We start from the raw sequence: 26,065 nt of genomic DNA, 5'->3' as shown, positions 1-26,065 counted from the left end.
TTCCTATCGTTATTCCATCTGAGATACAAAATACTCTCACCATTTAGTACTTCAAACATAGAGCCTTATGTATAAATACAAACATCTAAAATACTTTCATCGAGGCTGGGTGTGGTGGCTCACATCTGTAATCCCAACAGTTTGGGAGGCCGAGGCAGGCAGATCACTTGAAGCCAGGAGTTGGAGACCCGTCTACCAACATGGCGAAACCCCGTCTCTGCTAAAAATATAAAAAAATCCCAGCTGCTCAGGAGGCTGAGTCACAAGAATCACTTGAACCCGGGAGGCGGAAGTTGCAGTGAGAGCTAACTGCAATCCAGCCTGGATGACAGAATAAGAATCTGTCTCAAAAAAATTAAATTAAAAAAAAATACTTTCATCAAAAAAGTGTCACCAAACCGGGCACAGTGGCTCAAGCCTGTAATCCCAGCATTTTGGGAGGCCGAGACGGGCGGAACACAAGGTCAGGAGATCGAGATGATCCTGGCTAACACAGTGAAACCCTGTCTCTACTAAAAATACAAAAAAAAATTAGCCGGGCATGGTGGCGGGTGCCTGTAGTCCCAGCTACTCAGGAGGCTGAGGCAGGAGAATGGCATGAACCTGGGAGGCAGAGCTTGCAGTGAGCCAAGATCGTGCCACTGCACTCCAGCCTGGGCGACAGAGTGAGACTCTGTCTCAAAAAAAAAAAGTATTACCATTTTTTCAACTCATTTCAGTATATTTTTGCGCCTATTGTCCTATGAGGTGAGATTTAACAAGTTGGTAGGCTCTGTGTTAATCTGGAGAGGAAACACCCCATCCAGGGCTGGCTGCTACCCAGCTTCAGATATTGCATGAGAAAATATAGTCAGATGCTGTCAGATCTTGACTTTTGTGGGGAAGCCAGATATACAGGTCTTTATGTGAAATGTACCATTAAAAAAATACGGAGTAGGTCAAACAAAGCAGCTCTGTGAACTACTGATTTTCATCCTGGTGCTAGACATACTCTCAGCTGTTCGGACCCTGCCCCAGTGCCCTTTCTACCAGTATATGGCTTGTCCCCAAGGCCCTCTGGCACTTCTTTTTACCCTTCACTGGGGCTGACTTTCTTTACAACAAAGTGGCAGAGAGATTCCACAGGAGTGATTGGATGACAGCCTTCCTGGGAGGTGATTGTGTGGTGAGACAAAGGCACCCAGGAGTCCAGGTTCTCCTTTCTCTTCCTCGGCTCGGTGCCTTACCCTCTGAGTCACCAGGCCTGGGAAAACCCAGGAGTTCAGACTGATGGGAAAGTCCTAGCTCATTCCAAACTCTCTGGCAGGATGAAGCTGCCAGTTACTGAAGACAGAAAAGAGGTAGGGATGGCACATAACTGTCTGCTTGACTCTCAGCTGTCCAGGCAGGGCCTGGAGAGGAGGCAGCTGACTTCTGGGCTGACCTGCCCAGGGTACCCACCCCTGAGGACCAGTGAGCAAGCCCACTTAGTGCTTTTTCCCTGGCCGCAGCTGCTGCAAGAGAGGGGCACAAAGTGGATTGCATCATAAAAGCCTGAGAAAGTGTCTCCAAAAATAACACCTGAACAAAACCGCTTTGAACTTTTGCATTCATTAGACGCTTTTTCGGGGCCCTATGGCAGTGTTGATAATCTCAGAATTGTTCAGTCAGGCTCAGTGACAGGAAACCTATCCCCTTAGATACAGCCAGAATTCCAGAAAAGTCAAATAATGTGTTATCTAGTCATGAGACAGCACTGGACTTCAAAGAGTCAGGTTTAAATGGAGAAATGCTAACGGAACAGAACACAGGGCTGACATAATTACAGGCTGTCTTCAACCTGGCTTCAATATGTACATAAATATGCAGAGAAAAATACCGGAAAGCAATACACAAAAATGTTCATTGTGGTTATATTTGGTTGTGGGATATGGGAGACTGTATTTTTCTATTTGTATGCTGCTCCTAAAAGGATCTAAGACAGCTAACAGATCGACAAAGTATAATTGATTCAAAACTAAGTGAGAAAGAAGAGGCAAAGAGAAACGTAGGGAAGTAAGATTGAGGTGGAGGAGAGGTTAAATGCTGGAACCGTACGACACTGTCCATTTCTGTTTGTCAAAGACAGCCTAAAAGATCAATCATGGTAATGACTATTAGTACTGGTAAGAGTATGTGAATATTTTGCCTGAGTTATTAAATATAACAGTTCCTGATAATAAAGTTTGTATAGTTTATAAGTTATTTGGCAAGCCAGTGAGTGTAAAGCATTATCATAGGCCTGGAACTTAGTAGGTAAATACTACTCCTTTTATGTCCTATTATGTGTCTGTTATGACTAGAAGCACCGCCAGACTCTCAAACTCTGGCCTCTCAGAGCTCACAGACCCTTCCCACCACACTGTATGCATGCATTCAACTCATGGTAGGTCCAATACATAACTATCGGTTTAATGAATCAGGGCCTCCTAATCTCAAACTGAAGTTGACATTTGAATCTTGCCCCCATGAAATCAGGTTTTTTTGGTTGCTGTTTTTTTGGGTTTTTTTTTTTTTTTGAGACAGAGTCTCACTCTGTTGCCCAGGCTGGAGTGCAATGGTGCGATCTCAGCTCACTGCAACCTCTACCTCCCAGGATCAAGCGATTCTCCTGCCTCAGCCCGCCTCCACCTCCCAAAGTGCTGGGATTACAGGCATGAGCCACTGTGCCTGGCAGAGATCAGTTTGTGTGTGTGTGTGTGTGTGTGTGTGTGTGTGTGTGTGTGTATGTTTGAGACAGAGTCTCGCTCTGCTGCCCAGGCTGGAGTGCAGTGTTGTGATCTCGGTTCACTGCAACCTCTGCCTCCAGGGTTCTAGCAATTCTCTTGCCTCAGCCTCCGGAGTATTGGGATTACAGGTGCCCGCCACCATGTCCAGCTAATTTTTGTATTTTTAGTAGAGACAGGGTTTCACTATGGCCAGGCTGGTCTCGAACTCCTGACCTCGTGATCTGCCCACCTTGGCCTCCGGAAGGGCTGGGATTACAGGCATGAGCCACTGCGCCCAGCCAAGAGATTAGTTTTTTAAAGTTAAAAATGTTCCCTTAAAATCCCCTGCTATTGGCCTGGTGTAGTGGCTCATGCCTATAATCTCTGCACTCTGGGAGGCTGGAACGGGATGATCCCTTGATCCCAGGGGTTTAAGACCAGCCTGGGCAACATAGAAAGACCTGTCTCTGCAAAAATTTTTTTAAAAAATTAGCTGGGCGTGGCACACGCTTGTATTCCCAGCTGCTCAGCGGGCTAAGGCAAGGGGGCTGCTTGAGCCCAGGAAGTCAGGGCTGCTTGAGCCCAGGAAGTCAAGGCTGCAATGAGCAGTGATTGCCACTGCTCCCCAGCCTGGGTGATGGAGGAGACTGTCTCAAAAAAGAAAACAGAAAAAGGCCAGGTGGGACAAAAAAGATCTCAGAGTAGAGAACTGACACACTGATTTTCCTCTAAATGGAGCAGCCACGCCTCATCTTCGCCTGGCTGTTGCTGCTGGGAACTGGGGCAAGTGTTGCTACTTTTCTCACATTTCAGAAGCTAGAAATTAAGCCTTTCGGGTAAAATTTTAGAATTTTGGCCAGGCACGGTGGCTCACACCTGTAACTCCAGCACTTTGAGAGGCCTGAGGTGGGCAGCTCACTTGCGGCCAGCGTGGCCAACATGGTGAGACCCTATCTCTACCAAAAATACAAAAATCAACCAGTCTCATAACCTGGTCTCAAAATAAAACAAATAAAAATATTCAGAATTTAAGTGTGGGTTTTTTTTTTAAAGCAACTGTAGGAGCCAAGCAAAATCCATGTCAAGCTAAATGCAGCCCACTAGCTGCTTGCTTGCCAGCTTACTACCTCTGCCTGGTGCTCATTAGATTTATAAAAATTATTTGGATAGATTGGAAGTTTTGTTATATTAGACAATTGCAATAATTTATAAAAATAAACTAAATATGTTAAAAGTATAAATGAAGTTTAAAATATAAAGTATTTTTAAAACGCATTGTTTAAACTTTAGTAAATGTATAAATAATACAAAAATATTTATAAACTGAATTTAAGATGAAGAAAGCAAGAGAGTTTTTAAAAGTTAAAACTTTAACAACCACTGTTGATTCATTATCCACATTTTGCAGATTACCTGCATCAGATGGTGAAACCAGGATGTCAAAACCTATCACTTTTCACCTCTAAACTGTCATCTTTTTTTTTTTAGACGGAGTCTTGCTGTGTTGCCCAGGCTACAATGCAGTGGCACGATCTCAGCTCACTACAACCTCCATCTCCTGGGTTCAAGCAATTCTCTGCCTCAGCCTCCTGAGTAGTTGGGATTACAGGCGTGCACCACCACATCCAGCTAATTTTTTTTGTATTTTTAGTAGAGACAGAGTTTCACCATCTTGGTCAGGCTGGTCTTGAACTCCTGACCTCGTGATCCACCCACCTCGGCCTCCCAAAGTGCTGGGTTTACTGGCGTGAACCACCACGCCTGGCCGAAACTTTCATCTCTTAACTTTTGATTTCTAAACGTGTAATCTCACTAATTTGGGAAGCAGAGGTGGGAGGACTACATGAGTCCTGGAGCTTAAGACCAGACTGGGCAACATACCGAGACTCTGTCTCTACAAAAACTTCAAAAATAAGCTAGGCAGGGAGATGCCCAACTGGGGCCCTAGCTACTTGGGAGGCTGAGGTGGGAAGATTGCTTGAGCAGGAGACCAACGCTGCAGTGAGCTGTGAGCACAGCAAACACTGCACCCCAGCTTGAGTAACAGAGCGAGACCCTGTCTCCAATAAATGTCAAAAGCCTGAACACTCAATTGTTAAATTCTCACAACAACCCTAGATTATCCAGTAATTTTATCGCCATTTTGCAGATGAGGAGTCTGGCTTGGGAGTTTAGATTTTGCCCAAGTTTCTGGTCCACTCAGGATTCAAACCAGATTCACAACTCTACCAACCTCTCATAAGCCTAAGCAAGAATCTGTGGACATCATCTCCTAAATGAGACCCAAGCTCTCCAACAGGCCCCATGGGGAGCTCATTGACACACGAGCACACTCTTATTTCACTGGACAAAGGGACTAGCCCCTTACTCCACTCCCAACAACACACGGAGAGCCTGCCGGGCTGGAAAATGGGGACCTCCTTGACTGGTCACCCCAACTTCCTTCATCATTCCAAGCCCCACATGACACTCTGATACCCCACCCTTCACCATCTCCCCAGAGACCACCTTTGCCCACTCAGGACTTGAAGAAATTAGTTATACTGTGGTGAAGGTTCCAGATCCCTCAGACCCTGCATTGGTCTTCCTACCTGGAAAGAAGTCAGTCCAGAAGAGCTGGAAACAACTGGAGTCAAAGCTGGAGACCGCTTCATAGCTGGAGGCCGCTTCAGAGCTGGAGACCGCTTCAGAGCTGGAGACTGTTTCAGAGCTGGAGACCGCTTCAGAGCTGGAGATTGTTTCAGAGCTGGAGACCGCTTCAGAGCTGGAGATTGTTTCAGAGCTGGAGATCGTTTCAGAGCTGGAGACCGCTTCAGAGCTGGAGATCGCTTCAGAGCTGGAGACCGCTTCAGAGCTGGAGATAGCTTCAGAGCTGGAGACCGCTTCAGAGCTGGAGACCGCTTCAGTCAGAACTGGAAGCCACTAGTCTGAGACCGGGGAAGATAAGAGGCCTTAAATAGGTCCCACTTAGCCCCACCCATGCCTGCAATCTCCTTAATTTAATCAACCCAGTCCCACCCTAAGGCGGGTTTAATCCCTTCTCTCTGGTTGGAAGCCCCTGTTTTAGAGCTTGTTCCTTGGTTCTACACACACTCACGTCAAACCTCTTGTTGTGGTGACCCGCCTAAGCAGGCCTGTCTGACACACACATATGTGCTATGAGGGCATTAGGGACCGAAACACTTGGGCCAGCCCACCCTGGCATCCCCCACCCAGGGAGAAGATAGGACATTGGCAAGAAAATTCTAACCTCATCTGAGTAGCTGGGCAAGGTCGTACATGCCTGTGATCCTAGCTCCTCAGGAGGCTGAGATGGAAGGATGGAGAGTTGGAGCCCAGCCTAGGCAAAATAGTGAGACCCTGTTTCCAAAGGAAAAAATAAAGCAAACAACAAAAAAGAAAGCATCTGTAAAACCAATACAGAAGAATAGAGAGGACAAGAATATAGAAGAAAATTCAGAAGAAACTAAAGAAATGAGATGAAACAAGCTCTATAAGATATCAAAACACACTAGTAAACTACAATGTAATAAATAATAAATACTAAACTAATATTTGTATAAATTTGTATTTATATAAATACAAAATAATAAACTACAATCTAATAAATAAATAATAAACTACAATGTAATAAACTACAATGAACAAAACAATGTGGTAATAACCAAGGAGCAGCAAGATGAATGGTTGAATAAAATGACCCAGAAATAGATTCCTGCTGTTAGGTTAAAAAGGCATTTCAAATCAATTTTTAAAGTTAAGGATTACTAATAAATTTTCTAGAGTAACCAATTGTCAATTAGAAAAAAAAAATTGACTTAGACATATATCATATCATATATCAAAATTAATTCCAGGGATGTTGATTTGGGATGGAAAACAATGGAAAAAAAATTAATTCCAGGAGAAAGACTTTAAAACTCAGATCACAGAAAAACCATGAATGAGATAACCCAAAAGAGCTATAGATTTGACAATATAGCTATGTAAAATTAGGCAAACACAGTGGGAAAAAATATCCCCACTGAACAGTATAATAAACAGTAGACAGATCATTTATATTTCTAGTTTTCCCTCAAAGGTTCTGTTCATGTGAATCACCAATATCTATTTCATTTCTCCCTCATCACTGTTAGACATTAATGTTTCAAACAAATTGTACTAGCGGGAAAAGTGTCCTATTCACGGTTTTAATATGTACTTCAAAAATTGGCATTTTTCATGATTGAATTAGTAGATCTATATCTTTTGTGGTGGATTTCTGCTTATTCCTTTTATTTATGGAACCCTTAGTGTCTGGCTTCGTAATTTTTTTTTATTATTTATTATCTTTTTTTGAGACGGAGTCTCACTCTGTCACCCAGGCTGGAGTGCAATGGCGTGATCTAGGCTCACTGAAACCTTCACCTCCCTGGCTCAAGGGATTCTCCTGTCTCAGGCTCCTGAGTAGCTGGGATTACAGGCGTGTGTCACCATGCCCAGCTAATTTTTGTATTTTTAGTAGAGCAGTGGTTTCATGATGTTGGCCAGGCTGGTCTCGAACTCCTGACCTCGTGATCTGCCCACCTCAGCCTCCCAAAGTGGTGGGATTACAGGCGTGAGCCACTGCGCCCGGCCTCTGGCTTTGTAATTTAAATGAACTCAACATTTATTTAGAAACATGACTTTTTTTATCCTTTGACTTAATAATTATATTTACAGATACCCACATTGAAAAAATATTTTATCCTTATGTATGAAAATATTCATTACGGAGTAAAGAATAAAGATAAGAAAGACACAAACTACATGTCCAGAATGAGAGAGTGACTTGAGTAAGTTACGGCACTTTCACTAGATAAGCAAGACTATTTGCAGTCCCTTTAAAAAATGGCATTTATGGGCCGGGCGTGGTGGCTCAGGCCTGTAATCCCAGTACTTTGGGAGGCCAAGGCAGGGGGATCACGAGGTCAGGAGATTGAGACCATCCTGGCTAACAAGGTGAAACCCTGTCTCTACCAAAAATTCCAAAAATTAGCCAGGCATGGTGGCTCACGCCTATAATCCCAGTACCCTGGGAGGATGAGGTGCACAGATCAGATGTCACAAGATCCAGACCATCCTGGCTAACAAGGTGAAACCCCGTCTCTGCTAAAAATACTAAAAATTAGCCAGGTGTGGTGGTGGGTGCCTGTAGTCCCAGCTACTCAGGAGGCTGAGGCAGAAGAATGGCATGAACCCAGGAGGCAGAGCTTGCAGTGAGCCGAGATCATGCCACTGCACTCCAGTCTGGGCGACAGAGTGAGACTCCGTCTCAAAAAGACTCCATCTCACAAAAAAAGACATTTATGAAAACAATGTAGCAACATCAAAATGTTTATGATACAATGTAACAAAGAAATGATAAATTCAAAACAGAAATATGGGGTGCTATAGTCTGAATGTTTATGACTCCCCTCCCCCAATATTTATGTTGAAACCTAATCATCAAGGTGATGGTATTAGGACCCAGTGTCTTTGGGAGGTGATTAGGTCATGAGGGATTTGCCCTCATGAATGGGATTAGTGTACTTATAAAAGAGGCCCAAGAGGTCAGGAGTTCGAGACCAGCCTGGCCAACATGGCAAAACCCCATCTCTACTAAAAATACAAAAATTAGCCAGGTGTGGTGACAGGTATCTGTGATCCCAACTATTCAGGAGACTGAGGCAGGAGAATCACTTGAACCTGGACGACCGAAGTTGCAGTGAGCTGAGATCGTGCCACCACTCCAGCTTGGGCAACAGAGCAAGACTCCATCTAAAAAATAAAATGAAATGAAATAAAAAAATAAGAGGCCCAAGAGAGACCTTTGCCACTTCCACCAAGTGAAGACATAGCTAGCAGGTGCTGTTCTATGAACCAAGAAGCGCCTCCTCACCAGGCACCAAATATGCCAATGCCTCAATCTCCAATTTCCCAGCCTTGGAATTTTTAGAAACAAACTTTAAACCTCTGGAATTTTGTTTTGTTTTGTTTTTTGTTTTGTTTGGTTTTGGTTTTGTTTTTGTTTTTTTTGAGACAGAGTTTCACTCTTGTTGCCCAGACTGGAGTGCAGTGGCGCGATCTTGGCTCACCACAACCTCCGCCTCCCTGGTTCAAGCGATTCTCCTGCCTCACCTTCCAGAGTAGCTGGGATTACAGGTGCCTGCCACCATATTCGGCTAATTTTTGTATTTTTAGTTGAGAAGGGGTTTCGCCATGTGGGCCAGGCTGGTCACGAACTCCTGACCTCAGATGATTCACCTGCCTTGGCCTCCCAAAGTGCTGGTATTAGAGGCGTGAGCCACTGCGCCTGGCCTGTTTTTTATAAAATACCCAGTCTATGGTATTTGATTATTGCTGCCTGTGGTAAGAAAAAAATAAGGGGAAAAAACAAGCAAAGCAACAAAGACAAGATGCATCTAGATTTGTCAGAACGATTGTTTTAGGGAGATAAGATTAAAGGGAGTATTTTAAATGTTCCTTGTTTTTCCCAATTTTCTTTGATAGAGGTTTTGTTTTGCGACACACTGTTTTTTAAAGAGCACACCATCAAACCTTACATTTGATCAATGTACTTTAGTCATTGAAGGAAAGACACAGAGAAGGAAAAAAGATGTCAAGGAAAATAAAAGATGAAGGGAAAAAGAAAGAGGAGTTGAGACTCTCACAGAGTCTCAAGGCAGACAGGGAATGTGAGTTGAGAAAGACGCTCAGAGATGGGGAAACCAAGCTCAAGAAAATTAAATAATTTGCCCAAGAGTGCCCAGCTGGCAAGAAGCAGAACCAACAATTTGCAAACAGGTCTGTCGGACACTGATGCAAAATCAAAGCCTTTGGAGCCTGGGGGATGTGAATGAGTCAAGGGGGACCTCTTCCAGGGCAAGGGAATGATAGAGAGCACCCGCTGAATGGGGCTGAGAGGCAGGGCCAGGGAAAGGCCAGTTCTGTGTGTTTCTGAAGCACAGCCTGGCTCCCGCAATGATGTTAGTGTGGATCTGAAAGCACCTTCTCATTCCTGGAATTAAACCCCTCTCTGCTTAAAATAGCCACAGCACAGGATCTCAGCTAGGGGCAGTTTTGCCCACAGGGGATATTTAGCAAAGCTTTGAGACATTTGTGTTGTCATAACTAGGGGCAAGGAGTGTAACTGGCATCTACTGGTAGAGGCCAGCGATGCTGCTAAAGATCCTATAATACAATGCACAGGGCCGACCCCACAACCAAGAATGATCCAGCCCAGAAAGTCGTTAGTGCCATAGTCAAGAAATCCCGAGCTGCAAAGAGGCTGCCACTTTGCAATCTCTGTCCTAAATCTATGTCCCATCTACTGCGTGGTGCTGTTTCCAGTCCCGCCTAGGAAGCTTATTGTGTAAAGAATAATTCCTCTCTCCAAGAGAAGCAGGGAAGTGACCTTAAGGAAAGTCAAATGGTCAATTTCTTCTTCTAGTCCTCAGCATAGCAGATTCAGGGACTTTGGCATAAATTTGAAATACCTGGTATGACAATATGGAGCCTATATGGAAAAACACAGCTGCCATTTTAACTATAACATAGTATTGGGGACATAGAAATTCCAACAACTTTTAAGAAAAGGGTACACTCTCTGAAACGATGCTGACCTTTGTGCCTGGTATCAGAAAAGCTTCAGCTAACGATCAAGTTCAGGAACCAAGCTGTTGTAATCCAAATGATTTCTGATCTTTCATAAGCCCTCATCCATCTCAAGCTTTACATAGTTGTTTTCTTTGTTTGTTTGTTTTTTCTTTTTCGAGACTGAGTCTTGCTCTATCACCTAGGCTGGAGTGCATTGGCAGGATCTCAGCTCACTGCAACTTCTGCCTCCCAGGTTCAACTGATTCTCCTGCCTCAGCCTCCCAAGCAGCTGGTATTACAGGTGCCCGCTACCACGCCTGGCTAATTTTTGTATTTTTAATACAGATGGGGTTTCACCATGTTGGCCAGGCTGGTCTCAAACTCCTGACCTCAAGTGATCTGCCTGCCTCAGCCTCCCAAAGTGCTGGGATGACAGGCATGAGCCACCACGCCCAGCCATCAAACTTTACCTAGTTTTGACTTTGTTTTTTTGAGATGGAGTCTCACTCTGTTGCCCATGCTAGAGTACAGTGGTGCAATCTCAGCTCACTGCAACCCCTGACTCCTGGGTTCAAGCGATTCTCCTGCCTCAGCCTCCTGAGTAGCTGGGATTATAGGCACCCGCCACCATGCCTGGCTAATTTTTGTATTTTTAGTAGAGATGGGGTTTTACCATGTTGGTCAGGCTGGTCTCGAACTCCTGACCTCATGATCTGCCCACCTCAGCCACTCAAAGTGCTGGGATTACAGGCATGAGCCACCACGACCAGCTTGACATTTTTTATAAACGCTTCTTTCTGGAAACACTTTCCACCTTTGGCTTCTGTGACACTGCATGGTTCTGGGTCCCCTCCCAGTTCTTGGTTTGGTTTGTTCTGCCAGTGACTACTTGGCACCGTCCCAGCACCTCTCTGCCCCCTGTGAACAAGGTCTTTTCTCTACTTTCTCTAAATTTGGCTGGTAACATATGCCTTGGGGGTCATTCCCCAGGGCTGGCTGGCCTTTTACCACCCTGCTGCCCCCGCAGGCCTGAGACTCACGTGACCAGGGAGATCCTGCCACACAACTCCTGTCCCATCAAGTGGGACAGCAATAGGACATATGAAAGAATTCCATCAAGTTCAAGGTATTTAGGGTTTGATAAAAAAGGTATTTTAACAATCCTAAGAACAGAAAACAAACAAAAAGTCCAGAAAATCTAATCTAATCTATTTTTAAACATCAAGTCTGATTAAAAACAGAAAAATGTCCTCTTGTGAGGGTCCTCTGGGTGGCAATGTGGGCCATGCAGACTTCTGGGAGGAGATGAGGGCCTATCCCTTTCAGAGTTTTGGGGCCCTTGATAGAAGGACTGCAAAAATAGGCTCCAAATTCGGGTGGCATAATGTTGTCCCTTGATTAAATGATATTCTCTTGCCAGAAAAACTAACCCCAGGGGAGATTCAGAATTTAGAAGAGCTATAAGGTAAATCAAACCTAGAATATTCCATTTTTTGTGATGAATTTAAAAATAATCTGTACCTGTCTGTCATTTTAATTTCTTGAAATGTTAAGGATAATTTAGCATATTGGCATTTATAGTAGGTTAACCCAATGATTTTTTAAATTTTATTTTTATTTTTTAATTTTAATTTTATTTATGTATTTATTTTTATTTATTCATTTATTTTTGAGACAGAGTCTCGCTCTGTCACTCAGGCTGGAGGGCAGTGGTGCGATGTCGGCTCACTGCAACCTCTACCTCCCAGTTTCAAGGGATTCTCATGCCTCAGTCTCTGGAGTAGCTGGGATTACAGGCGTGCGCCATCATGCCCAGCTAATTTTTGTATTTTTAGTAGAGATGGGGTTTTGCCATGGATTGCCCAGGCTGCTCTAAAACTCTTAAGCTCAAGTGATCTGCTGGCCTCGGCCTCACAAAGTGCTGGGATTACAGGGAGGATCCACCATGCCAGGCCTAACCTAGTGATTATAATTTAAAACAGGTAATTGAGGCCAACCACGGTGGCTCACGCCTGTAATCCTAGCACTTTGGGAGGCTGAGGCGGGCGGATCACCTGAGGTTGGGAGTTCAAACCCAGTCTGACCAACATAGAGAAATCCCATCTCTACTAAAAATACAAAAGATTAGCTGGGCACGGTGGCGCATGCCTGTAATCCCAGCTACTCCAGAGGCTGAGGCAGGAGAATGGCTTGAAATTCCCGGGAGGTGGAGGTTGCAGTGAGCTGAGATCACGCCATTGCCCTTCAGCCTGGGCAACGAGTGAAACTCCATCTCTAAATAAATAAATATAAAAATAATTGATTTAGACTTGTGAATTTAAGTTGAAATCTTTTTTTTCTGCATTGGAACTCTGATTACGTTGAAATCTCATTAAGTTTGTAAACCATGTTAGAACCCCGATGAGAACTTCAGATCCATCATTTTTAGGTTTAATTCATTAGATTTATAAAAAATTATTCAGATATATTGGAAGGTTTGTTATATTAGACAATTGAAGTAACTTATAAAAATAAACTAAATATATTAAAAGTATAAGTGAAGTTTAAAATGTAATTAAAGTGCTTTTAAAATGGGTTGTTTAAACTTTAGTAACTTTAGAAATAGTACAAAAATATTTATAAACTGAATTTAAGAAGATGAAGAAAAGAGAGTTTTTAAAAGTTAAAACTTTAACAAATTTAAAATGCTATTTCAAAAACCAAAACCATTTCTGGAAAATCTTTTCCATGCATAAAACCCAACTGTCAACGGCGCACAAAAAAATAAAAAACTAACAAAAAAACACCCATTTGAAACGTGTTTGGCCAGGCGCGGTGGCTCACGTCTGTGATCGCAGCACTTTGGGAGGCTGAGGAGGGCGGATCACTTGAGGTCGGGAATTCGAGACCAGCCTGGCCAAAGAGGTGAAACCCTGTCTCTACTAAAAATACAAAAATTAGCCACGCATGGTGGTGCGTGCTAGGGAGGCTGAGGCAGGAGAATCGCTGGAGCCCAGGAGGCAGAGGTTGCAGTGAGCTGAGATGGCACCACTGCACTCCGGCCTGGGCAACAGAGTAAGGCTCCGTCTCAAAAAACAAAACAAAACAAAACAAAAAACAAAGACAGATGGGTTAAATTAGAATGCAAGATTTTCTTTAAAAAAAAAAAAAAATTGGGCAGTGTGTGGTGGTTCACGCCTGTAATCTCAGCACTTTGGGAGGCCGAGGCGGGCAGATCACGAGGTCAGGAGATTGAGACCATCCTGGCTAACACGGTGAAACCCCGTCTCTACTAAAAATACAAAAAAAATTAGCCGGGCGTGGTGGCAGGCGCCTGTAGTCCCAGCTACTTGGGAGGCTGAAGCAGGAGAATGGCATGAACCCGGGAGGTGGAGCTCGCAGTGAGCTGAGATCACGCCACTGCACTCCAGCCTGGGCGACTCCGTCTCAAAAAAAAAAAAAAAAAAATTGGCCCAGCACTGTGGCTCACACCTATAATCCCAGCACTTTGGGAGGCCTAGGCGGGCAGATCACATGAAGCCAGGAGTTTGAGACCAGCCTTGCCAACATGGCGAAACCCCACCTTTACCAAAAATGCAAAAATTGGTCAGGCATGGTGGTGCATGTCTGTAATCCCAGCTACTCAGGAGGCTGAGGCAGGAAAATCACTTGAGCCTGGGAGGTGGAGGTTGCAGTGAGCCGAGATCACACCACTGCATTCCAGCCTGGCTGACAGAGTGAAACTCTGTCTTAAAAAATGAAAATAAAATTTTAAAAATTATTTATTTATTTGTTTTAACTAGTCTCATGATTGGCTATCAATGCAAGTTTTTCTAAGTTTGTGGGTAAATGAATCTTTCTGGGGAGCTTTTTGTGTGTGTTCACAAAGGTCCTTGTCCTAAAGGAATTTAAGAGCCTTTTTTCCTGTAGCAGAAGCAACTTGCCTCTTTCTCTCTCCAGCCCCACAGGACACAGTGGCTGCTGAGAACACCACCTGGGAAGCCACCAGTACCCTATATGTAATAGTCTGCAAAACCGTTTCACTAGTGTGACCCTCTCAAGCAAGTACTTCACACAGAGATCACTCTCTACCCAGCAACCCAAATTTTGTCAGCTTTCATCCTCTCCTTTGCCAAAAATATCTGGCCAATTACTTAATTCTGTTTCTCTTCCTATTGAATTCCCTACTTCTATTGATTTCTGAAATTACCTGATTCTATTGATCAATTCTACTGGAAATCAACAGAATTTGGTAATTGATTGGAGATTTCCTTCCTCTTTGCCACAAGGATCTAAACTGCCATGAGGCCCTAGTAATGCTTCTCTCTCTCTTTTTAATTTTTTTTGTTTGAGACAGTGTCTTGGCCTGTGGCCCAGGCTGGAGTGCAGCGGCGCAATCTCGGCTCACTGCAACCTCCGCCTCCCTGGTTCAAACAATTCTCATGCTTCAGCCCCCTGAGTAGCTGGGATTACAGGCACACACCACCATAATCAGCTAAGTTTTGTATTTTTTAGTAGAGATGGGGTTTCACCATGTTGGCCAGTCTGGTCTTGAACTCCTGACTTCAAGTGATTCACCTGCCTCAGCCTCCCAAGTGCTGGGATTACAAGCGTGAGCCACCGCACCTGGCCTGCTTCCCCCTTAATGTTCCCTATTTTGTTTCCTTTCTCCCAGTCCTGCCTTCCCCCCTCTGCCCCTCACACTAGTATCAGCACAGCCCTGGACCAATAGCTCTCCATGCCACTCTGCTGTCTTCTGCAAACTGAATGACTTTCCCCAAAATACTATTCGGTGCCTGGACAACATAGCAAGACCCTGGCTCTACTAAAATATTTCTAAAAATTAGCCAGGTGTGGTGGCACATGCCTGTAGTCTCAGCTATTTGGAATGATCACTTGAGCCCAGGAAGTTGAGGCTTCAGTGAGCTATGATTGCAATGGAGTGAGCCTGGGCAAAGGTGTGAAACCTCATCTCTGAAAAGAAAAAAAAAAAAAAAAAAAAAAGATGTGTTGTGGCAAAGCATTCTGTGGCTCCCTGCTCCTTCCATGGCAGATTTCGTCACATTGGTGTCTTCATATAGACTCCACAAGCCACACCAAGCGGCAGACCTGTGTGCGCATTGCTCATTCCTGCCTTTATCCATTTACATATGGGGAATGCCCTTGAAGTGCCCTTCGCTTTGCCTCTGGAAATCCATCTTCTTTCAGGACTCACATCCTCCACAAAGATTTAGGGATCTTTTTCTCCTTACAGGCACACACCACCACACCCGGTTAATTTTTGTATGTTTAGTGGAGACGGGGTTTCGTCATGTTGGCCGGGCTGGCCTCCAACTCCTGACCTCAAGTGATCCACCTGCTTCAGCCTCCCAAAGTGCTGGGATTACAGGCATGAACCACCGTGCCCAGCACAAAGTTGTTTTAGCAGTGACAAATACATCAGGAGATTAAAACAGAGTTATGAGATAAAGAGGCCAATGATTAGAAACTGACCAACTTTAGCCTTCACTAAGTCAGGAAACGGAAAGCTAATTCAGACCTGGGTGGTCCTTTCTGAGATAGTGACCTGTGTGCTGAGACCTGAATGATGAGAAGCAAGCCCCTTGTGGAGATTCAGGGACAGCATGTCAGGGAGGAGGGACAACAAGGGTAGACATGGAAGAAGGGCCTGGGCACATTGAAGCATGTGGCTCTAGAATGCAAATGAGGAAGCGCTGTGGCAGAGAGGCCCAAGCAAAGCCAGAGCTGATCGTACAGGGCTGTAAGGGGGCTCTCGTGGGTTGAAGTGCATTGAAGGGTCTCAAGCAGACAGAGGAATCCTATCCTCTGATTCATTCAGTTACCAGCTGACTCTGCTGCTGTGTGGAGAATGTTTGTAGGTCCAGAAGGAAGCAGGGATGCTGGCTAGGAAGGGACAGACTAGTGCCAATTGGATTCACATGGCTGTGAAAGATGAGGGTGACCAACGACCCCAGTTTGCTGGGTCTGAGGGGTTTCCTGGGACACAGGAACTTCAGTGCTAAAATGAGAAAGTCCTTGGCAAACCTGGATGGGTGGTCATCCTAGGCCACCATGGGTAGAGATCAAGTCCACCTTACTCGCTGATGGATAGAAGGAAGGAAAAGAAAAAATTGACAGTGACTGATAGGAATTTAGCTTGAGCAACTGAGTGGCTGGTGGTGCCATTTACTGGGATGCAGAAAATGAGACTGGAACAGATTCAGAGAGAAAATCGAGAGTTCAACTTTCTGAGATACCAAAGGCGAGCTCCATAAATCTCTGCCAAATGGCAAAGTCACTGTTATAACCCTTGAGAGAGACCTTCTGCTCTCCCAGATCTATGGAGATCCAAAGTGAATACAAAAATAGGCAATCTAATCAACAGCAAAATTGCTCTGGGATCTCACAATTGCTGGCTAGCAGTCACAAAGGAGCCATCCTTCCCAGAAAGAGGGGGATGCATCCGTTTCCAACAGATACGATGTTAGCAAAATCCAGAAGCGAGCTGGGGGCCATGCTGACCCTGGCCTCTGCTGTCTCCTTACAGACCCCACCCCCAGCAATTTGTGATGGATGCAAATTTAATTCAAGATGGGGAGGGGAGGGCAGCAGGAGGGGTCACATCAAGTTAATGTAGGAGCATCATTCTCTGTCTCTAGCTCCACCGAGATACTCCACCCCGGGTCCAATTATTTCTCTTTCCTCTGTTGTAGAACATCTTTCTCCTTCCTCTGACCTCAGCTGCCAATGATGCCTTTACAGCAAATGGGCTTCTAGAAGCCTTTCCCAACAGAGTTAGTCCTCTGTCCTACTAAAAGGACCACTTTCCTATCCCATGTGCTGGCCTTTCCCCCATGACCTGCTCTTGGTAGCCATATGCTTCCCTTGGAGGGAATATCACCTCCTGCATTTCCTCCCACAAGCTCCTCCTTCTCCATTGCAGCAGCTATTCCTGCTGTCTGCAGAGACCCCTGCCCACCAGTCTAAAGTGAAGAAAAACCAGTACGTTCCCTAGGGTGAACTGGGAGGGAAGGGAGGAGAAGCTGGACCTTCCTGTCTCCGCTAAACTGCCCGAGGCTGTTAGCATTCCTGCTTTTTCTTCCTTATGTCTGGTCCCACGTCTCCCACCCAAAAATATGTGTTCTCAGAGCAGGAGGAGGGGAGTAGTGATGCACTTGGCACCAATTATTTATTTAAATTTTATGGCCAGGCGCAGTGGCTCACGCCTATAATCCCAACACTTTGGGAGGCTGAGGCAGATGGATCACTTGAGGTCAGGAGTTTGAGACCAGCCTGGCCAACATGGGGAAACCCTGCCTCTACTAAAAATACAAAAATTAGCCAGGCGTGGTGGTGCACACCTGTAATCCCAGCTACTTGGGAGGCTGAGGCAGGAGAATTGCTTAAACCTGGGAGGCAGAGGTTGCAGTGAGCTGAGATCACACCACTGCACGCCAGCATGGGCAAAAGAGCAATACTACGTCTTATTGTTATTTTGTTCATTATGAATTGTTTGCATTAACTTAGATTACTTTTTAAATATTGCATTAAGATATTATTTTTCTTGGGTGCTGAGTTTTTTGGTATCCTTTAGATTTTGTGCTCCAGGTGAGTGACTCACTCACTTCACTGTAACCTGAGTCCTTCTGGTTTTCCGGAAGTGACACATGCATAAAGAGACTAAAACCTGCAAGGTGAGACTCTTTTTCGTTTGTTTTGGAGAGACAAGGTTTTGCTGTGTTACCCAGGCTGGTCTCAAACTCCTGGCCTCAAGCCATCCTACCACCTCGACTTCCCAAAGTGCTGAAATTACAGGCATGAGCCACTGTGCCTGGCCTGGACTTCCAGTTTTATTTATTTATTTATTTGTTTATTTATTATTATTATTATTATTATTATTATTATTTTGAGACAGAGTTTCGCTCTCGTTGCCCAGGCTGGAGTGCAATGGTGAGATCTCGGCTCACCACAACCTCCGCCTCCCAGGTTCAAGTGATTCTTCCGCCTCAGCCTCCCGAGTAGCTGGGATTACAGGCATGCACCACCATGCCCAGCTAATTTTGTTTTTGGGTTTTTTTGTTTTTTATTTTTTGAGACAGAGTTTTGCTCCTGTTGCCCAGGCTGGAGTGCAATGGTGCAATCTCGGCTCACTGCAACCTCTGCCTCCCGGGTTCAAGCAATTCTCCTGCCTCAGCCTCCCAAGTAGCTGGGATTATGGGCACGCGCTACTGCACCCGGCTAATTTTGTATTTTTAGTAGAGACGGGGTTTCTCCATGTTGGCCAGGCTGGTCTCAAACTCCTGGCTTCATGTAATCCACCCACCTCAGCCTCCCAAAGTGCTGGGATTACAGGCGTGAGCCACCACGCCCGGCCTATTTATTTTTAGACAGAGTCTCGTTCTGTTGCCCAGGCTGGAGTACAGTGGCATGATCTCGACTGGGGTTCATATCCTATGAGAGGTCCCCAACTTCGTCCTGCAAAGTGCTCCCCTCTCCCAGTCCATGCTGGTAGAGTGTTCAGCTTGTCTCCATCCCCCCGGCCTCAACTGATTGGCCCACAAGTAGACATCTTACCTGAGTGGAACCAATGGGTTCCTGGCCTCAAACTTTGAAATCATGCTAAGAGATTTCAGTCCCATGGTGGCTGGACCAGTCAAGAAATCCTAAGGCCTTGGCCAGGTGCAATGGCTCACGCCTGTAATCCCAGCACTTTGGGAGGCCGAGGTGGGCAGATCACCTAAGGTCAGGAGTTCAAGACCAGCCTGGCCAACATGGTGAAAACCCATCTCTACAAAAATACAAAAATTAGCCGGGCATGGTGGTGGGTGCCTATAATCCTAGCTACTCAGGAAGCTGAGGCAGGAGAATCGTTTGAACAGGTGGGCAGAGATTGCAGTGAGCCGAGTTTGCACCATTGCACTCTACCCTGCGTGACAGAGCCAGACTCTATCTCAAAAAAAAAAGAAAGAAAGAAAAGAAAAGAAAAAGAAAAAGAAATTCTAAGGCCTTTTCTACTCCGGGAATGATAATAGGTTGCAGAGAGAGTTTTCAGGAAAAGAAAGAGAGAAGAGTGAAGCAGAAATAAAATAAGGGCTGAAATGGGACTTGGAGACAGTCCTGTGGGCATTCCTGTCCCTGGCAAGTCCCCGGTCAGGGCCTCATGAGGGGCAGATTTGTGTGTTTTTGGCTGCCCAGTACCCATTAGCTTCCAAAACAGGCCCCCATTTCCACTGTGAGCACTATGTCTGAATGTTTATGTTTCCCCCAAATTCATGTGTTGAAATCCTTTTAAGGTAATGGTATCAGGAGGTGAGGGCTTTGGGATTAGTGGCCTTATAAAAGAGACTCACAGGAGCTCATTCACCCCTTCCACCATGTGAGGATACAGGGAGAAGGTACTTTCTACAAACCAGGAACTTGGTCCTAACCAGACATCAAATGTGCTGGCACCTTGATCTTGGACTTCCCAGACTCCAGAACCGTGAGAAATACATTTCTGCTGTTTGTGAGCCACCCAGTCTGTGGCATTTTTAACAGCTGCCCAAATAAACTAAAACAGTGGGTCGCCTTTCAAAGAAGGGTCATTCCAGGCCACCTTCACCATACTGAGGGGAGCCAAATTCTTCTGCCCACAGCCAGGGACTGCCACACACAGGCACGTGTCTTCAGCTGGCCTCTCCCAGGTCACAAACCCCATGCAAGTGACTGCAGTGGTGGCTGCCTGCCCATGCGATCCTGGTAAGTCTCCTGCCCACCCCTCCAGGCTGCCTTGGCTCTGCCTCAGCTGTCCTCAGCCTTCAGCCTTGTGTGCCCCCTTCTTTCTGTCTCTAAGTTCCCTTTTGTTTTAGCAAAACCAGAGTTGGTTTCTCTGATTTGCCACTGAGAGGTACTGACTGATATATGCAGTTATATCAGGTGCCTGAGTTCCATGAGACAGCCCTGTATACATCCCCGGAAGTAAGCTCCAGGTGTATTTCCATCTCTTGTGGTCAAGAGTCCTGCCAGGCGTGGTGGCTCATACCTGTAATCCCAGCACTTTGGGAGGCCAAGGTGGGTGGATCACTTGACATCAGGAGTTCGAGACCAGCCTAGCCAACATGGCAAAACCCTGTTTCTACTAAAAATACAAAATTAGCCAGGCAGTAGTGGCGTGTGCCTGTAATCCCAGGTACTCAGGAGGCTAAGGCGGAAGAATCGCTTGAACCCGGAGGCAAGGCCGGGCGCGGTGGCTTACACCTGTAATCCCAGCACTTTGGGAGGCAGAGGGGGGGGTGGATCATGAGGTCAGGAGATCAAGACCACGGTGAAACCCTGTCTCTACTAAAAATACAAAAAATTAGCTAGGCGCAGTGGTGGGCGCCTGTAGTCCCAGCTACTTGGGAGGCTGAGGCAGGAGAATGGCATGAACCCGAAAGGCGGAGCTTGCAGTGAGCTGAGATCGCGCCACTGCACTCCAGCCTGGGCGACAGAGCGAGACTCCATCTCGAAAAAAAAAAAAAAGAAAGAACCCGGAGGCAGAGGTTGCAGTGAGCCAAGGTCATGCCACCGCACTCCAGTCTGGGCAACAGAGTGAGATCCTGTCTCAAAAAAACAAAACAACAACCACCAAAAAAAAAAGAGAAAACAAAAAAAGACACAAAACTCCTTATAGGTTAGTGGTGGACTCGGACAAGTTATTTTACCTCTCTGAGCCTCTCTTTTCTTATCTGGAAAATGATGCTACTAATTCCTGCTGTGCAGAGTAATTGGACAAAACAGCAACAGCAATAATAAAGGTGATCAACAGCAAATGCCAGATTGTGCTTACTACGTTCTAGGAGCTATTCCAGGAGTCTACATCTAGTAAGAAACTCATTCCACCCTCACAACAACAACCCTTTGAAGTAAGTAATTTTTGCCTCATTTTGAAAGTTAGAAAATTAAGGAACAAAGAGGCTAAGTAATCTCCCCAAAGCCACAGAGCTAACACGTGCCAGGGTGTCTCATACATATTTTGTTGTTCAGTAAATGGTGGTTATTGTTTGTGCTCGTCAAAAGATTTGACAAACTCAAAAAGTCAATTTATGATGTAGGTTGCACCCCTTGTGTAAAGAAACAGTTGAGCTGGGTGCGGTGACTCATGCCTGTAATCCCAGCCCTTTGGGAGGTCGAGGCTGGTGGATCATTTGAGGTCAGGAGTTTGAGATCAGCCTGGCCAACATGGAGAAACCCTGTCTCTACTAAAAATACAAAAATTAGCTGGGTGTGGTGGCGTGTGCCTATAGTCCCAGCTACTCGGGATGCTGAGGCAGGAGGATCCTTTGAGCCCAGGATTTCAAGGCTGCAGTGAGTTATGATCACACTTCTGCACTCCAGCCTGGGTGACAGAGCAAGGCCCTGTCTCTAAAATAAAATAAAATAAAAACAACAAAAAATTAAATAAATAAAAAAATTAAAAAGACAAACAGTGCATGTTTGCCCCACACCTGTCTGGTCTCCAGTGCTTTCTGCTCTAGTGGATGGTGTCACCATTCCTCAAGCTTCCTGAACCAGCTGTCCAAGGGTTGCCTCTGCTTCTTCCCTCACCCCAAATCCAATCAATCAATCACCAAACCCAGTCTATTCTGCCTGGATAATCCTCACCTCTCCAGTCCCTAGAGCAGACCACTGTCACCCAACTGCTGATCTCATTTCCCACATCCCCCTCCAATCCAATCCCACATCCCCCTCCAATCCAATCCCACATCACCGCCAAAATGATGCTTCTAAAGCACAAATCTGGCCACTCTTCCTAATCTTTAGTGGCTCCCCCTTGACTCCAATACAAAGCCAAACTTCTTTTGACAGTTTATGAAACTCCCTGATCTAGCCCCTGCCTACCCCTCCAGCCATCAACCTTGACATTTTCCCTCTGCCATTTAACAAAAATCTGTTGAGCTCCTAATGTGAGCCAAGCACTGGAAGAATAAGAAGGCAACATGATTTCTGCTCTTATGAGGGCTACACTGGGCTGGGTGGCTCCTTTTTATCTTCCAGATATCAACTTAAATATCAGTTCCTCAAGGCCATGCTCCTTCTTTCTTTGAGTCCCTTGGTGTGTGTCTCCAGAATGCTTTGCCCTTCTCTACCATAACTTATCCCACACTTGATTGCTGCTCAACCTCTCTCTTTGCTGCCAGAGCCATGGGGATGGGCACTGGCTCTCTTGCTCATCTCTGTGTCCCCAGCACCCAGTGTGGTGCATAGTAGACATTCAAAAAGTAGTTGAGGCCGAGTGCAGTGGCTCACACCTATAATCTCAGCAATTTGGGAGGCCGAGGCAGGCGGATCACATAAGCTCATGAGTTCGAGACCAGCCTGGGCAAAGGAGTGAAACCCCAGCTCTAAAATATATATATGCTGGATCTGGTGAGGCATACCTGTAGTCCTAGCTACTCAAGAGGTGGGAGGATGGCTTGAGCCCAGGAAGCAGAGGCTTCAGGGAGCTGAGATTGTGCCACAGCACTCCAGCCTAGAGGATAGAGCCAGACTTTGTCTCAAAAAAAAAAAAAAAAAAGTAATTGATGATGCCAGGTGCAGTGGCTCACTCCTGTAATCCCAGCACTTTGGGAGACCAAGGTGAGAGGATCACTTGAGGCCAGGAGTTCAATACCAGCCTTGGCAACAAAGCAAGATTCCATCTCTATTAATAAAAAATTTAAAAAATTAACCAGATGTGATGACACACACTTGTAGTCCCAGCTGCTCAGGAGGCTGGGGTGGGAGGATCGCTTGAGCCTAGGAGGTCAAGACTGCAATGAGCCCTGATTGCACCACTGCAGTCAAGCCTGGGTAACAGAACAAGACTCTGCCTCTAAAAATGAATAAATAAATATTTAAAAATACAAACACAAAGTAGTCAATGAAAGCCAGGCATGGTGGCACATGCCTGTAGTTCAGCTATTCAGGAGGTTGAGGCAGGAGTTCAAATCCTGCCTAGGCAACATAGCAAGATATAGCAAGATCCCATCTTTAATTTATATGGATATAAATATGTATATATGGCCAGGCACGGTGCCTCACGCCTGTAATCCCAGCACTTTGGGAGGCCGAGGTGGGAGAATCACCTGAGGTTGGGAGCTCAAGACCAGCCTGAGCAATATGAAGAAACCCTGTCTCTACTAAAAATACAAAATTAGCTGGGCATGGTGGTGCATGCCTGCAATCCCAGCTACTCAGGAGACTGAGGCAGGAGAATCTCTTGAACCTGGGAGGCGGAGATTGCAGTGAGCTGAGATTGCGCCATTGCACTCCAGCCTGGACAACAAGAGCAAAACTCCGTCTCAAAAAAAAAAAAAGTATATATCATATACATAATAAATAAATAATAGTTGATGAATGTATAAATATATGAATGAATAACACAATACTTATTAAATAATCATACTTCTGGTTTTCCTCCAAGACTATATGCTTTATTTTTTAAACAGGAAAGGTCATGTCGTATTTATATTTTTCTCCCAGTAGCTGCTACATTGATACTCAATGAGCCTTGGTTGAATGGATGGACAAGTGTGTCCCTGTGTGGAAAAATGAGAGTTAGGAAGGATGGTCAAAGCAGAAAGGCAGTGCCTTTGGAGACCAAGGTAAGTGTGAGCACCCCTGGAACTTACAATCTCATGATCTGCCTATTCTCCAGAGAGGTGTGGAGTTCCTTGGTTCTCAGTATTCGCTGAACATGGAGTCATGTGGGGCAGTTGATAAAATACCAGTTCTAAGGCCTCTCACCCAGAGATTCCAATTCAATGGGCAATGATGAGAGTTGGACACTGGATTTTTTACTTTTCTAGAGATGGAGTCTTACTCCATTGCCCAAGCTAGTCTCAAACTCCTGGACTCAAGTGATCCTCCCACCTCAGTCTCCAGAGTCACTGAGATTACAGGTACAAGCCACTGCACCTGGCTAGAAAATAGATTTTTTTTTTTTTTTTTTTTTTAGACAGGGCCTCACTCTGTTGCTTAGGCTAATCTTGAATTCCTGGCCTCAAGCCATCCTCCTTCCTCGGCCTCCCAAAGTTCTGGGATTACAGGCATGAGCCACTGCACCCAGCTGAGCTGAAAATGAAAAAAAATTTTTTTTTTGAGAGAGGGTCTCACTCTGTTGCCCAGGCTGGGGTATAGTGACACAACCTCAGCTCACTGCAACCTCAACCCCCTGGGCTCAGGTGATCCTCCCACCTCAGTCTCCTGAGTAGCTAGGACTACAGGTGTTCACCACCACGCCTGGCTAATTTTGTATTTTTAGTAGAGACAGCGTTTCGCCATGTTGCCCAGGCTGGTCTTGAACTCCTGGGCTCAAGCAATCCACCCTCGGCCTTCCAAAGTGCTACGATTACAGGCGTGAGCCACCGCACCTGGCCCAAAAATGGAATTTAAAAAAAAAAAATGCTTCCTGGTTAGCCTAGTCAACATAACAAGACCCCACCTCTACTAAAAGTTAAAAAAAAAATAGCCAGATGTGGCGGTGCACCCCTGTAGTTCCAGTGACTTGGGAGGTGGGAGGATTGCTTGAACCCAGGAATTTGAGGCTGCAGTGAGCTATAATTGTGCCACTGCTCTCCAGCCTGGGTGACAGAAGGAGATTCCATCTAAAAAAAAAAGCCAAGAAAAAAGCTTCCTGATGATTTTAATGTGCAGCCAGAACTGGGCAGTTTTGGGGCCTCCTGGAATTTATAAGGCTTTGGTCAGATCTAGGCATGCAGATATGCAGACAGTCTGCCAGGAACTGCTGGGTATCTGCTGCAGATTGAGACTATGACATAATCAGAGGTGAAACCAAGGAAACAAACTCAAGGAAGCCAGGACCAATTCACCATCCCTCCTAGATACACACGTATTGAATGAATGAATTAATGCGTAGTCTATAATGGTACTCCAACTTTCTTCTGATTAGAAAAAAAAGAGAAAGAAGGCCGAGCATGGTGGCTCTGGCCCGTAATCCTAGCACTTTGGGAGGCTGAGGCGGGCAGATCGCTTGAGGTCAGGAGTTTGAGGTCAGCCTGGCCAATATGATGAAACCCCATCTCTACTAAAAATACAAAAATTAGCCAGGTGGGGTGGCAGGCACCTGTAATCCCAGCTACTTGGGAAGCTGAGGCAAGAGAATCGCTTGAACCCGGGGACACGGAGGTTGCAGTGAGCCGAGATCACGCCACTGCACTCCAGCCTGGGTGACAGAGCGAGACTCAGTCTCAGATAAATAAATACATGAAAATTAGCTGGGTGTAGTGGCATACAGTTGTAATCCCAGCTACTCAGGACACTGAGGCAGGAGAATCACTTGAACCCAGGAGGCGGAGGTTGCAGTGAGCCGAGATCTCACCATTATACTCCAGCCTGGGCGACAGAACGAGATTCTGTATCAAAAAGTAGAAATTTGGACACAAACACAGAGGACCCTGTGAAGTCACAGGATAGTCACCTAGAAGCCAAGGAGAGAGGCTTCAGAAGAAACCGTCCCTGCCAGCACCTTGATTTCAGACTTCTAGCCTGGAAATGAAAGAAAATACATTTCTGTTATTTAAGCCACATAGTATGTGGTACTATGTTTGGCAGCCCTAGCAAACTAATACACAGCTATAAATAAGACCAAGTCCGTGTCCTCCAGCACCTCTATTCATCATGCATTCATTTTGTGAGGTTGAGTGAATACTTTTTACATATCTATTGCTATCTTTCAAAGCTGTGTAATCACGTGAATTTCACCCAAAAAGCCTTCATCAAAAGAGTCTCTTGGAGGAGGTGGG

General features: G+C 45.4%; 1 annotated feature.

Annotated features, from left to right (window-relative positions):
- Positions 7,714-7,887: a silencer, noted in NCBI's record as "fragment chr4:25647409-25647582 (GRCh37/hg19 assembly coordinates)". NCBI's record gives its function as "represses an EF-1alpha promoter that drives an FKBP-Casp9 reporter gene in an ReSE screen in phorbol 12-myristate 13-acetate-treated (for megakaryocytic differentiation) K562 erythroleukemia cells {active_cell/tissue: K562(+PMA)}" and the evidence as "EXISTENCE:reporter gene assay evidence [ECO:0000049][PMID:32094911]".

This window comes from Homo sapiens, chromosome 4 (assembly GCF_000001405.40).
Source record: "Homo sapiens chromosome 4, GRCh38.p14 Primary Assembly".
Lineage (NCBI taxonomy): Eukaryota > Metazoa > Chordata > Mammalia > Primates > Hominidae > Homo > Homo sapiens.
This window is presented reverse-complemented; position numbering and strand designations above follow the sequence as displayed.